The sequence below is a fragment of the Homo sapiens genome, chromosome 4 (assembly GCF_000001405.40).
Source record: "Homo sapiens chromosome 4, GRCh38.p14 Primary Assembly".
NCBI classification, from domain to species: domain Eukaryota; kingdom Metazoa; phylum Chordata; class Mammalia; order Primates; family Hominidae; genus Homo; species Homo sapiens.
In genome coordinates, this window is record NC_000004.12 from 2,070,817 (window position 1) to 2,085,428 (window position 14,612).

At 58.3% G+C, this 14,612-nt stretch overlaps 1 protein-coding gene across 1 annotated transcript in view, besides 1 other annotated feature; it reads right to left on the reverse strand.

Annotated features, from left to right (window-relative positions):
- POLN (DNA polymerase nu) overlaps positions 1,102-14,612 on the reverse strand; it is a 170,204-nt gene continuing 156,693 nt past the window's right edge. Inside the window, exons 22-26 of the mRNA NM_181808.4 lie at positions 10,817-10,927; positions 10,142-10,220; positions 4,636-4,703; positions 2,152-2,213; positions 1,102-1,483 (exon numbers count right to left, since the gene is read on the reverse strand). Coding sequence (NP_861524.2) covers positions 1,298-1,483; positions 2,152-2,213; positions 4,636-4,703; positions 10,142-10,220; positions 10,817-10,927 — 506 coding nt within the window. The 3' untranslated portion in view covers positions 1,102-1,297. The remainder of the gene's footprint in view (positions 1,484-2,151; positions 2,214-4,635; positions 4,704-10,141; positions 10,221-10,816; positions 10,928-14,612) is intronic.
- Positions 5,379-5,992: an enhancer, noted in NCBI's record as "H3K4me1 hESC enhancer chr4:2077922-2078535 (GRCh37/hg19 assembly coordinates)". NCBI's record gives its function as "activates a minimal SCP1, AML or CMV promoter by ChIP-STARR-seq in primed H9 embryonic stem cells {active_cell/tissue: H9 hESC(primed)}" and the evidence as "EXISTENCE:reporter gene assay evidence [ECO:0000049][PMID:30033119]".

A 14,612-nucleotide genomic window follows, 5' to 3' on the forward strand; every position in this document is an offset into this window, starting at 1 on the left:
ATACTCACCCCTGGCCGGCCTCCTGCAGTGGCACCAGGTGTCCCCACGAGGAGCCAGCACCTTGATGGTGAGCCTGAGTGCTGGCCGCTCTGTGGGTGGCAGCCGGAGGTGACATCCCTGAAGGGTACAGGGGGCCCTGTGCCCCACTTCAAGGGATGCTCTTGGAGCCCAGACCCAGACCTGGGTAAGGAAGTACATGGGAGGGGCTGAGATACCCGGGGGGGGGGGGGTGGCCTGAAAGCAGGACCCCGGGAGCACATTTCCAGGGGCCACCACAGAGACAGGGAACCATGGTACAGGGTGAGGATGCGGCTGAAATCCTGGCTGGCGCACTTTTGAGCCCTGTGACCTTTTGGTGCCTCAGTTTCCCCACGTGCAAAGAGGGGATCGTGTTGGTGCCTCTGTCGCAGCCTGCTGTGAGGTGGAGGTGAGTCACAGGTGTCCTGCTGGGCTGGCAGTGAGGCCACTGTGCATGAGGGAAGGCAGAGGGGCACGTGGGACGGGAAGAGTCTGGAGGAGCTGCTTGGAGCACTGGCTGTCTCAGGAGCCAGCCTGTTTGCAGCCACTGGTCACTAGCCTGCAGGAGGCTCATGGGAGAGACCTTGTGGCCTGAGAGCATGTGACCCCAGACGCCCGCGGGTCCTCGGTGGCCCCTAGGCTGCATCCATGGGGGAGGCCTGCAGTGGGTGGCCAGGTCTTCTCATAGAGGGGCTCCTCTGGTCCTCCTGACACATCAGTCGGGAACACAAGCTCTAGGGGCCTCAGTGCCTGCGGGGAGGCTGTGTTCTCTCCATCTCAGTACAGGGCTGCACGCTGGGCTGGCCTGGGAGGACGGTGCACGCCCTGGGCCATGGCTTCCTAAAGCGAAGGGAGCCAGCAGGGGGTGACACCATAGGGCGTCAGAGCTGGTGGCTTCTTGGACACCTGCCGGGGGGAGCAGCTGCTGAGCCACGAGGCAGCCCCCTCCCCTGGAATCCATGGGAGAGGGAGCTGGGAGTGCCTACCCAGTCTGGAGTGTCTGGCCCAGACCCAGCCTGGGTCACTCCCAACTGGGGGCACTCAGCCCTGCCCCGGCCAAGTGGCTGGGGGTGGTGGACGCGGCACTTCCCACTCACAGGAAGAATTCACTCAGACAAGGATGAGGAGGGCTTTGCACAGGCATTTACTCCAGGGGATGGCGGGCCACCCCAGCCCCAAAGGGTTAATGCGTCCTGGGGCGTACAGAGCTGGTGACCTTGGGGAAGGCCACACAATGGACTGCTGGAAACCAGTTCTCTCCTCCCACTGTTGCCTGGGGCTACAGACAAAATGAAGGCGAAAAATGCAGGGGTGGGGGCTGGGTGCTGGCAGGGGACCCAGGGGCAGCCAGGCTGTTGCTGGGAGACTCAGTGCGACATGGGCCTGGCGGAGGGCCCCAGGCCTCCTGCAGTGGCACCAGGTGTCCCCATGAGCGGCCGGCACTCAGGCTCACCTTGAGGGGTACCTGCAGGTGGCAGCCAGAGGTGAGCCCCACGCCTGGGCCAGCCACCCCCAGCCACCTCCCAGACCCCAAGCAGGGGGACAGGGCCTACAGCACACAGGTGCACACATCCAGATACATGATCAGACAGCCACACGCACACATGTGCATACACGTGCACACTCACCACACTCGCCCAGCAACAGGCTTATGCCACATCCACCTCCCAGTCACGACACCTCGATCTTGGCGGAGGTTCCCCCACCTGCCAGGGCCTCTGTGCCAGTGGGTAGGCTGCGGCCGGCAGACAAGGTGCCCTTGGATGGGTGGGTGTGTCCTGGGGCATCCTGTGCTTGCCCCTCAGGGTCCTGCCCCCGGGAGGATTGGTGGCTCCTAGAGGCCAGGAGAGCCCTCCCGGGGGTCCCTGACCTTGAGTGGACCAAGCCTTCACAGCTCTTGACAGGGAGGGAGGGGTCCAGCCCCGGCTGCCGTCCCTGTTCACTGAAGTGAGCAGAGTCGGGTGGGGCTTCCCGGGCTTCAGGGACGGTCCAGCCTCCACGGCTGTGCCTGCTGTGGAGTGGCCATCTCGGGGCTGGGGCTGCACCCTTTGGCCTGGCTCTTTTGCCCTGGGGGTGCTGGCCTCCCCTCACCCTGGGCTCCGGAAGACCGGGCAGGCTTAAGTGTCCCCTCACCTGAAGCTGCAGCTCCAATGCCTGCACCTGTTCCAAGGACTCCATGGTCCTCCTGACGAGAGCTAGAGTGCGGAAGAGAGAGGAGGCCCTGCTGGTCTCTTGGCCTTGGGGCCTGGGAGCCGAAGATAAGAGAACTTTCAGGCCCGAGTCCTGCCCCGGCCCCTGAGCCCCCTTGTTTCCTGTGTCCACTCGGTCACCTGAACCAGCTGTGGGACCTTAATGCCCACAAGGAGCCCCTGAGTGCCCAGCCCCTGAGGCTGAGTCCAGCTCCCCCGGCCCCATCCACAGTCCAGGATGCCTCTCGCAGGCCCCTTGGCCCTCGCTGCAGCCCCTCCTCCTGGCCTGGCCCACCACACTGCACTGGCCCTCACCCCTACCCCTCCGGCTCAGCTCACCCCAGCTGGGGGCCATGGGGTGGGGCAGGCGTCATGCCAGCTCTGTTCCAGAGCCACTGGGGCTGGGAGGATGGGGGAGGCACAGGGAGCCCCCACCAGCCAGAGCCACCAGGCACACAAGAACCCCCCATCCCCACTACTGCCCGGTGAAGTTTGAGGCAACAGTGGCTTTGTGCCACAGGCAGGCTGACCCCGTTGTTGGGGCGTGGATCACCATGCAGCAGTGGGGCTCAGAGCCCTACGAAAGGGAAGGCCTGGGCAGGGGCCAGAGGTGGGACCCGCAAGCTCAGGCTTTCTCAGGGCTTGCTCTGAAACCTGGAGCCCCTGGATAAACATTCGTTCAGTCCTTTTGTGCTGTGTGACACTGCAATGCAAAGATGGCGGCAGGAGCCCCAAGCCGTGGTGGGCGCCACCTCACTTTCCAGCCCTGCTGGCCCCAGCAGAGCGAGGGTCTCCCTGGGGACCTGTCCCTGGTGTGTCCTGAGCAGGGCCAGCGGCCACCCAAGCTCTGTGGCCCTCAATGTCTTCTGTGCAGGAGCCGGTCACCGTCTGCAGGGAGCTGTCGGCCAGCAGGTGGGCACACGGCCCATGTGCATGGTGGGGAGCCCTGCAGAAGGACCTGGGCCCCCCTGGGGACCTTCTTATGGGGGCGAGGCTGGAGAGCCGGCCCAGGCCAAGCTGGACCATTGGCTCCTCATGCTGGCTGGGGCTACCCTGAGTATGCAGAGAACTGGTCCCTCTTCTGTGCCTGGTGGGGTGGTGCTGTTGACTGAGCGGGTGATCCCAAGCAACTGCTGCTCAGAGAGGGGCAGCAAGCGTGGGGCTGAGCTGGCACTCAGCTGGAGCGCTCCCTGTGGGGCCCTCGGGAGGGCAGGCAGGGCAGAGATGCTGGGCGCTACACACCGCCTGGGAGATATGACCTGACCCCCAGCCCTTCAGGGATGGTGCAGGCCCCGCCCGACCCCTGGTTCCCCAGGCCCTGCAGTCCCTGGCCCCGAGTGCTCCTGAGAGAGCAGAGCACAGGCTGCAGCCTGCCTCAGGAGCTGCCAGGCCAGCTGGAGGAAGCTGCTCCCGGGAACAAGGCCGTTTGGGAACGTTTTCTTTCCTTTTTTAACCTACAGCTGAGCACACGTTATACTTGTTAAATGGTCACGTAAGGTGGGTGTGTTTTCAAATGAGTGGCTGGACATACTTTTCAAGTGGCAGAGCCCTGCTTTAGGATGGAGTGGTCTGGGTGGGCCCCAGGGATGGGAGCCTCACACCCCTAAGGGTAAGGCCTGGAGAGGGTGGGGCTAGGAGGGCATGGCGACCACCACTCGAGAGTTGGTGCCTGAAGCTTCCAGCCCTGACGCCCCCGTGCCTCTTCTCCCAACACGTGAAGCTGCCCCGGCTGTTTACAGACCTGGCCTGGAGAACTGGGGGCACAGGTCCACGTGGGCACCTGCTCTCGCCTCTCCCCTGTGAGGCCAGAATGGGACCAGTGGCTGGGTGCTGTGGGGAGGCCCCGGCCCTCCCAAGGGAGAGAGAAAGAACCCCTTGGGCTGACCGCTGGGGTGATTCTGCCTGAGCTAACTCATCTATGGGCCGTGTAGCTCAGCAGAGAGGGGTGGCCTGTGGGACAGGAGGGCACCCAGGCCTGAAGTCTGTGCTGAGCCTAGGGGGCCTCAGTGACTCCAACACCCCCAACAAGAACACCTGCTGCCAGCTCCGCAGCCCCCAATCAGCCCAGGTGGCCCCAATGCCCACTCCCCATCTTTCTAGACCCCCAAGACATAGAGGCCTTGGGCCTCAGACAAAGCAGCCTTGGGTGTCTGCAGCTGCTGTCTGCAGTTCCAGTCAGCTAGAATACCTGGCGCTCTCTGAGGGGCTGGTGGCCCAGGGTGGAGCCCACTTGGGCCTTTCAAGGGTCCCCAAACCCAGGCTGGCCCCTCTGCCTGCCAGGACCCAGGTGACACAGCAGCAATGAGGTGGGGCAGGGGCCATAAAAGGGAAGACAGCTGAGGGGCTTTCCTGGGCTGTGCCCATGGGGCATGGAGCCTCCTCTTAGCTGTCTGTGATGTCCAAGCAACCCTGTGTTGCCCCAGGCTACCTGCACACTCCGGGATCTGCGGATCTTCCACTTCAAACAGCAGCTCATCATGGATCTGGGCCACCAGCCTGGCAGGGAGGGAAGGAGTCACCCTGGGAGGCCAGGACTGTGGGGCGTGGGCCACCAGCCTGGCAGGGAGGGAGGGAGTCAACCTGGGAGGCCAGGACTGTGAGGCGGGGGCTCAGGGGTGCATGCAGAGGTGGGGGCCCATCCCCAAGGTTTCTGAAAGGTGGTTCTGGCACTGAGGCCCAAGAGGATGTGGCTCCGTGAGGCATGGGCACCACTGCTTGAGGTCACCCACTGTCACCAGGACAGCTCTGGGGAGCTGGGAGAAGGGGCAATAGGGAGACAGGCTGGTTGGAAGTGACTGGTTAGCTGCGAGGAAGCAGGTGGCACAACCAGCAGGAGGGGCTGGGTGCCCCGTGTCCGCCCCACCCAGGTTGGTCCCGTCTGAAGTCTGGGCAGGGATGGAAAAACAGCCCCTTGTGAACTGTTGTGGGGGCCCTGACATGGGCCGAGCCTCGAACAACATCATGGGTTCTTGTGCCCTCAGGGCTTCTCCGAGACCTCGCTCTGGTGAGCATCCAGCCAGCCCCAGCCAGGCCCCAGCCAAGCCCCACCCTTCCCCAGCCTCCTTCATGGAGCCCCTCAGGTGCCCCTCCCAGGGCGTCAGCAGGGAGAGCAAGTGGGACCCAAGTGGAGGAGATTCAGGGGAAATGCACTGCCAGGGGCAGGTCCCTGGGGTGGGGCTCACAGATTCAAGTGCAAGCACAAGGCGGACGGGTCATGGCTCCGGGCAATCAGCTCTTAAGGGCCGGCGCCACGCTGGCCACACAGACCGCACTGGGGCTGGATTCCGCCAGGGCGCTGCGGCTCCACATGCTCCTTGGAAACGGGTGACACACACCTTGGGCAGATGATGCCTCAAATCTTGGTGATGTGAGACCTCTGCTGAGGCCTGCTGCCCCCAGACCTACTGCCAGCCTCTCCTGTGAGGTGGACACAGGCAGCTCGCCTTGTGCCCCCGGGAGGGGACGTGCGGCGTGGGTAACTCACAGGATGAGCTGCTGGGAAGGATGGGGTGTCAGGGGGTCCCACGCACTCTGTCCTCTGTGTGACCTTGGCTCTGTCTCCTGGATCGAGTCTTCAGGGGCAGGGGTCACGTCCTATCTTCGCCCCTGCTGCCCGTCCTTGGCTGGCACAGATGGGCACAGCGGGCCCAGGGCCCTAGGGAGCTGGTCTGCATGGGCGTCCTTGCCGGGCAGTAGTCACGGGCATGTGACGGAGAGCCCCAGCTGGGATAAGGGGCAGCCTTCAAGCCCCAGGGTACAGGTGGGCTGTGCTGGCACTTTCCACAGGGGATGTGGACTTTGCAACAGAGATTTCCGGTGACCTGCCCCAATCCGCCCTTCCTCTCTTTCTTCATGTTGGCCCCTTTGTTGCTGGGTGGGGTGGAGGTGGGGCTGTGTCCTCAGCTACAAAGGACATTTCCCAGGCTCTCTCTCAGGCAGGGTGGCCCAGGACTGCATTCCCTTCAACTTCCAAGGAGGCTATTTTTTTTTTCCTTAGCAGGGAGGGAGGTAAGGAGTGGGAAGGAAAAGAGACTCCAGGAAAGTCCTAAAAGGGAAGGCTCTTTAAACGGCTGACTGTAAAGGGCTGCCAGGGGCAGATGCTCTTCTGACCACTATGACTTTCTCCTTTGCCTGCAAGGTGTGAGGGCTGGAGCAGCCACCTCCATCACAGCACCAGGAGGGAATGGCCAGGGAGCCAGAGGGACTTCGGTCCTGCTGCTCTGAGCCTCTGAAACAAAGCAACCACTGTTCTCTGGACTTCTCGTGATGGGAGAAAAGTCTGCCTTCTGGAGTCTGAGCTGCTGTAGCTTGGGCCTGTGTTCCTGACGGCCAAGTGCACACCCTCCTGGGTGTACATCCACAGGACACTACGTGGGCCCAGACAGCGGTACACTGGTGCTCACACCCTCGAGCAGGCTGCCCCCAGGGAGGGGGAGGTGGGCCTGTGCTTCATGTGCAGCCTCTGGCCAGGGGCCGTGGGCACTGCCCTTCCAGAAGTCAGAGGGGCGACAGAGCCCCAGGCTGTCAGCACCAGCAAGCTTGTCTTCAACTAACTTCAAGGCCTCAGGCAGAAGTCTTTGTCTCCCAAGAGGACTTACTTTTCAAATGGGCAGAAACCTCAGAAAAGGCACTTGTAACTTTTTCCAGATTTAGCAGAAGCAGTTTTCACACTTCTTGAAATTACATTGTGAAATTCTGAGCTGCTGGTGTGGCAGGAACCTAAGAATAGGTGCAGTTGTCAGTCACTCACACATCATTCTCGCAGCCACTGAGACATGACCGCGCTTCTAACTGGGAAATGGGGCACAGGTGAAAGAAGAAGGACGTCTGTCGTCTCCGTGTGGGGTGGATGAATGCAGGGCCTTGGATCCTGTTGTGTTCCGGAAGGGAGTGGACCTCTGGTGCAACTTCTCATCCCTGTTCCTGAGAGGGGTCGGCCACAGAGCTGCTGTGTTCTGCATCTGGATGGCCTGACTGAGATCACTGCACCAGTAGGAGAATGTTCCAGAAGAGCCTCACCGTGTTGCCTGTCTGGGGCCTGCAGGGGCAGCTCCCTTGCAAGGGATGCCCCCAGCCCTGCTGAACTGCTCTGTGGACTCATCCTGAGTGTGGGCGCATGGTGGCCTCATGCAGACCCGCCTTGAGAAGGCCCAGGGGAGGGACCGTCACAGCACTGACACGTTCTGAAACCCAGGAAGGCCTTTTCATAAAGGGCCTGCACCAGAAGAGACAGACAGGACAGCCGAGCCATGGCACAGAGGCCTGTGAACGCTGGCCACCGGCCTCCTGCTCTGAGCCCAACCTCTCTGGTCTTTTTAGGATCTGGACCAAGAGGCACAAACGAATGCCATTTCCCTGTCACAGGGACTGTGGGTGGTGAATGCAGACTGTCCTGTGGCCCCAGCCCACCTGGGCAGACCCTTGGGGTGGCCAGATGAATCTTCTTCTTCTTTTTTTTTTTTTTTGTTAGACAGACTCTCGCTCTCGCCCAGGCTGGAGTGAAGTGGTGCGATCTCAGCTCACTCTAGGGGCACCGTGTGCCTCCCAGTGATCGAGTTTCATGCCTGCTGCTTCAGCGAGAGATGCCTGGCCACACTGAGCCTGCACCCGTCCCTTCCAGACGCCATCCACAGCCTTTCACATTACTCCTGGAAGAACAAATCACGTTCACAAAACACAGACCATGTGCCCAATATTCCACACGAGTCTGCTTTGCATTTTGCTATGAGAAGCATTTCCTCGTGACAGCCAATGGCTGATGACAGAAGGATGACCAGCGAGTAACTGCGTTCCTGAGTAAAAGTGTCTGTGTCCAGCTTTCAGAAGGACTCAGTCAGCAACAGAGAGAGACCTCAGCTCCTCACATGCCAACTTCCTTTATCAATTCCACAAGGGCTGAAAGTGAACCGATTTTTTCTTTTTTTGAGGCAGGTTCTTGCCCTGTTGCCCAGGCTGGAGTGCAGTGGTATGATCATGGCTCACTGCAGCCTTGAACTCCCAGGCTCAGGTGATCCTCCCACTTCAGCCTCCTGAGTAGCTGGGACTACAGGTGTGCACCACCATGGCCAGCTTTTATTTTGTAGAGACAGGTTTCATTATGTTGCCCAGGCAACACATATGTTGTTCACAAACTTCTGAGCTCAAGTGATCCACCCGACTCGGCCTCCCAAATGCTGGGATTACAGGTGTGAGCCACTGCGCCCAGCCTTGAATCAACTTTTCTAGACTTGCAGTATCTTAGAGGCAGGACCACCATTTGGCTTTCAGTTCCTGCCAAGACGGAAACTAGCACAAGCTGCTCATATCCTGGGAGAAGCTATAATTTACCTGCAGAAACTGTGGAAGTGAGCGGGATGCATGGATTTCAGGACACCATGAGAACACTGTGGGGCACTAGAGGCTGCCTGGCATCAGTGTATATGCGTATATGTGTGTGCATGGGTTGTATGCATGGGTGAACACGTGTATGGGTGCATGTGCTTGTGTGTGCGTGTGTGTGCACGTGTGTGTTGGGAATGAATGCAGATGGCAGTGAGATGGGGCAGGAGAGGACTGAGAGTGAATCTTATTTTTTTTTCTGTTAGACAGAGTCTTGCTCTCACCCAGGCTGGAGTGCAGTGGTGCGATCTTGGCACACTGCAACCTCCACCTCCTGGGTTCAAGCGATCCTCCTGCCTCAGCCTCCTGAGTAGCTGGGATTACAGGTGTGCGCCACCACACCTGGCTAATTTTTGTATTTTTAGTAGTGACGATGTTTTACCCTGTTGGCCAGGTTGGTCTCAAACTCCTGACCTCAGGTGATCCACCCGTCTCGGCCTCCCAAAGTGCTGGGATTACAGGCGTGAGCCACTGTGCCCAGCCGAGAGTGAATCTTCTAATGCCCCACTCCTGCCTTCTGACCACTTCAGTTACTGCAGAAAGCAGCACTGAGAGCCCACAGCCCAGTGAAGCTGCAAGCAGAGTCCCTGGGGCAGTGCTTAGACCCCCACGGGACTGTCGCCAAGAGCTTGAGGGCTCTTAGGGTGGGGGTGGGAAAACGTCCATGGTGTGTCAGAGGGCGAGGGGCCCTTCGGGGACTGACACTGTGGGGGGCTGGGGCAGGTTAGCTCCCAGAAGGGGCTCCGGGACTCCTGAGGGGATCCCGCACAAGGAGAACGAGGAGAGGAGGTGTCTGGGTCACCACTTGCAGCACCCCCAGGCCTTGGCTGGCAAGGAGGAGGTGGCTGGGCGAGGGCTGCTTGTCCCCTGGCCACCCACACTCTTGAGGAATGTGCCCTGGGGGAATAACTGAGGCAGGGACAGAGGCCTGAGAGAGCTGTGGCCTGGGGGGCAGCCAGGGCGGAGCCCCCCCCCACCAAGGCACATCTGCATGTTGGCTCTGGGCTCGGGGGTGGGGGCAGAGCTGGGCGTGGGGCACACTGCCTGGCACTGGTGGCAGCAACAGGTAGGGGTGGGGGCAGAGCTGGGCGTGGGGCACACTGCCTGGCACTGGTGGCAGCAACAGGTAGGGGTGGGGGCAGAGCTGGGCGTGGGGCACACTGCCTGGCATTGGTGGCAGCAACAGGCAGGGGTGGGGGCAGTTTGGAGTCCCCAGGGTCCTGCTCAAGGGGCTGAGGGGTTCGCCTGCCTCTGGGGTGGGCAGCCTCAAGGGGTGCCCCTGTGCTGTGCAGACACCCCGAGGAGGAGGGGTCTGGGGGAGACAGCATTTCTGTCTGGAGAGGCCTCATCTGCACCCCACGCTGGTGGATGGCTGGTTGTTGTCTGCATGCCTGCTGTGAGTAGCCCCCAGGGCCTTCCATGGGCTGAGAGCCTCAGGAGGGGACGGGGGCCCGATAAGCAGAGATGGTGATCATCAGAATCACGAGCCCCGAGGGGGTCTTCCCACAGAATACTAACCCTCCCATCCAAGCCCTGGGAGACCACCACCCACTGACCTGGCCGTCAAGGTGTGGGAAGCAGCCACTGCAGTGAAGACATGGATCATGGCCAGCTTGCAGAGGTCAGCAGCGGAGCCTATGGGGCGCGTGGTACTGTCTTGAGGTCCCATGGCACACGGTTCATGGTGCACTCAGCATTCTGCACCATCGCCACAGCTCTCACGGTACCTCCACACAGAGGTGCTGGCTCTGAGCTGTCTGAGTGCCAGGGCCACAGATGACTGCAGGCAGACACTTCGTCCTTGCTCCTCCCGCCCTCTTGCTCCTGCAGGGCACCTGGGTTTTGGGTGCCTTACTCCTGGAGGCCTCACCCCTGCCAGGCATGCATGGGGAGGATGGAAGGGCCTAGGCCAAGTGCCAAGGAACTGAGCTCCAGGTCTCCTAAACCATAGAAGCCTCAGTTTCCCACCACAGAGATATGGGGAACAGTACTGCCTGGGCCCAGTTCTTGCGGGAATCATCCAATCATCCTAGCTACAAAGATGACCGTGTCCCCTCATGCCTCCTGACAGTAACTGCCAGGCAGGACATGGGTAGTGTAAGCTCCTGCAAGGAGGTTTGTGATGAGCAGGAAATACCGCAACAGTGATCGGTGGGTGCCACCCAGCCCTGCGGCTGCTAAAACCCAAGAAGCAAATGGACACAGAACTACAGGTAAGAGGCTTCTGGTACCTTGCACCACGAAGTTCACTGCCTGTCGCTCTGCTTGTGCCCGGAGTTGCTGGTCATGAGCGTGAATCCTTGGCAGGGGTCTCCTTCTGCCCATGATGGACACCACACAGCCTGAGTCACACAGAGCAAAAGTAGATGAGGGACAGAAACAGGCACCACAGCAGGTGCAGCTCCCTCGGGCCAGGTCCAGAGGCCACAGAGGGACAGCCGCACTGCAGTGCAGACTCCAAGCCTCCCCTGGGCCCTTCGGGTCTATCATGGGGGCAAGTGGGCCCTGCAGTGGGAAAGCGAGGGTCTGAGCTGGGCACTCTGCACTTTTTTTTTTTTTTTTTTTTTTTTTGAGACAGAGTGAGACTCTGTCACCCAGGCTGGAGTGCAGTGGCGAGATCTCAGCTCACTGCAGCCTCCTCCTTCTGGGTTTAAGCAATTCTCCTGCCTCAGCCTCCTGAGTAGCTGGGATTACAAGCACCTGCCACGATGCCCAGCTAATTTTTTGTATTTGTAGTAGAGATGGGGTTCCACCAAGTTGGCCAGGCTGGTCTTGAACTCCTGACCTCAGGTGATCCACCCGCCTTGGCCTCCAAAGCGCTGGTATTACAGTGGGGAGCCACTGCCCCTGGCCACACTCTGCACTCTCAGCTCTGTACTCTCCTGACTTCCAGCTGCACCTGGATCTCACACAGGACGAGGGAGGGCAGCTTTTGCAAAGCCATGTGGAGGCCTTGGGCCCAGGAGTAACTCTGGACTGTGTGGGATGGAGGAGAAAGTGGTCAGCCCACATCCTCAAGGAGGGGGATGTCTCAGTCAGGTCCAGACCCTGGACTGGGCAGATCCAATCTTGAGTGGCCTGAAGTGTATGCAATTTGGGGGCTCTTTTAAAGAAAATGAACACAAACACACTGTGTTAGCTGACTATATTCCTGACCAGTGAGGACTTCTGCTTTAACTAGGTGTGGGTGGGAAATAAATCCTCCACTTGTGACTGAGGATGAGAAGAATTTCCCACATCTATAATAATCATGAAAGTGACAAGGGATCGAGTACCTACTACATGCCAGGCAATATACAAGATTCTTAAGAAGGACTGGCAGTGAGGACACGAGAGATCTTCTGCTCTGACTTGGTCCCTTTCAGCTTCTGCTGCTTTGTCGGTCTAGTGACTTTTGGCCGGATGCTGGGCACTGTGAATTTTATGTTGTTGAATGCTGGGGTGTGCTGTCTTCCTTCTGAGGGTGTTTTGGCAGGCTTAAGTTACTTGCCAATCATCTTGACCCTTTTGAGGTTTGCTTCTAAGCTTTGTTAGAGTGGATTTGGAATAGCTGTAATCTAGGGCTAGTCTAGACCTGCCTCTAAAGTGTGACCCTTCTGAATGTCCCAGGTGTCTAACAAGGACTCTCCGCTCTGGATGGTCAGAACTCAAACATCTCCTAGTTCCATGGTAACTCTGGAATCATCCGGATTACTGCTCCCAGCAATTTTTGTGCCTAGTCCCGTAGCGTTTCACTCAATGTATGCGTATCTTAGTGTTCAAAAACAGACACAAGGGGGAACTCCTTGAAGATTTACAAGGCTCTCTCTCTCTAGCTCCCTCCTCTCTGACACTCTGGCTTACAAAATCCAGCTGCATCTGCCTCCCAAGTCTGGATCCACGTCTCCTCCACTCATCCAGACCACTCTGCAGTCTGCGTGGCTCCCCCTCCACACGTGGGCTGTGCCTCCAGACACAGGGCGTTCTTAGGACTCAACTCATTTGCCTCTTTTCTCTCAGAAACGAGCAATACGCTACCCACTGTCTAGTGTTGGAAACGGCTGCTCCAGATATTTTGCCCAGTTTTCTGGTTCTTCATGGTGGGTGCAAACTCTGAAGCCAGTGACTCCCTTGTGGCCTAAGGCAGAAGTCTCCTGACTCCATACATTTCAAACCTCATTTCTCCTCCACCCAGTGCTTCCAGTGCCAGTGCCTGCAGCTCCTGTTCATACTCGAGGTGCCTTCCGGCCCTGGCCCTTTGTGGTGATGCTCGCATGGCACCAATGCTCCTGGAAGCCACTCCTGTGCCAGGATGGCTAGCAGCACACCACACACAGAGAAAGCAGGGGACCACAGGAACACCAGCAGGAAAATCCGCATTAAATGAGTTGCCAGCTCAACCGGCTGTGGCCCCACTGATGCCACCTGGCATAGAAAGGTGTGTGATGGAGGAAGAGCGGTGGAGGCAGCAGTCCTAGCCGAATTAAGCTGAAACACTTTGTTTTTGACATGTTTACAAAATGTAGAAGGACGTGAGCACATTGCAGGGCCTCTCCCAGGACCTTGGGACGGCCAGCGTCAGAGTGAGTCTGCTCCAGCTGGGGCAGCCAAGTGCCCCGTGGAGAGCACTGACCCCTGAGGGCTGGTGGCCAGAGAGGCATCTGAGATCCCAGCTGGCTCCTGAGCTTTTGATGCTTCCTTGACATCTCTTACCTGCCATTCTCTCTCCACCCCTCCTCAGTTACTGTGTTAATGCCTGCATGCTTCTAGACTATTCTCAGGGGTGGCTTTGACTGCATCTCAAATCTCTTTCCCACATCTTGACTGGAATCATTTTGAAGGACAAAGCTCAGATTCTTTCTCCATGGAGTGTCACGTATGGTCTGGGTTTACCCAGCCCTACCTGTTCTCTGGCCCACCTGCCCATGCTGGCACTCCTCCTGGCCCTGTCTCTGCGCAGGTCGCCAGCTCCATGAGATGGAGGCTGGCACAGCTCCCTTGGGGCCTCTGCTGCGGCTCTGTTCTTCTCAGACCTGGACGCCACCTTCCTGTCCTTGTCTGGATGCTTGTGGGTTTACCATGTCCCCCAAGGACTGTAAGCTCCACGGGAGCAAGCGGCTTGTGTCTCAGGCGCTGTGGAGGCTCCCCTTCCGGGCTAGTGTGGGCTGTGGCACAGATGCTGCCCACCTGCCCGTCTGCTGTGAGACCAACAAGGAGCCTGTAGCAGGGCTGCCTGGAGCTCTCGGGGCTTGGGCATGGGCCCCAGAGTGAAAAGTCATCAACGAGTCACTGGGAGAGGCTCACGGAGAGGGTCCACGAGGCTGCCACACAGACACTGCCGGCACCCAGAGGAAACAGGCCGCAGCATCTAAGATGCTGGTCCTGCTGAGGCCAACTCTCCAGCTGATTTCCTCACTCCCAGTGAGTGCTGAGTGCTGTGAGTGCAATTCCTGTGCCTGTCATTCATCCTCCTCTTTGTTGTTGATTTCATTAATTTCTGCTCTCCCACTGATTTCTTCCTTTTTTCCCTGCTGCTCTTTTCCAGATTTCTTGTGTAGAACACAACTCATTTATGCCCACAACTTTCTCTTTCTTTAAAAAATACTCCTTTAAAATATTCCTTTACTTCTAAGTGAGGCGTCAGCTTAGCCACATCCCAGTTTCTGATGAGATACTTTTACTGTAATTTATTTCTAACATTTTTTGTCATTTTCTTAGGATTTCTTTTTTTAATCCTAAATTATTAGGAGTATCATCAACTTCCAAATAGGTAGGTGGAAGGATGGCTACACATACTCAGACATACATGTATGAAACCACCTTTTCATTGCACTGTGGTCACAGACTATGTCCTATTGGATATTCTTTGAAATTTGTTTGGGTTTCCTTCATGACCTGATTGTGGTGATATTTGTAAATATTCCAGTGCTTTTCATAAGAATCCATGTTTTCCCTTTCCAGGTGCAGGCTTGTATCTGTTTTTACCTATCTGCCCATCCACCATCTAGTCACTCAAGTTTGTTCACTGTGTTGCTTCAAGCCGCCCAG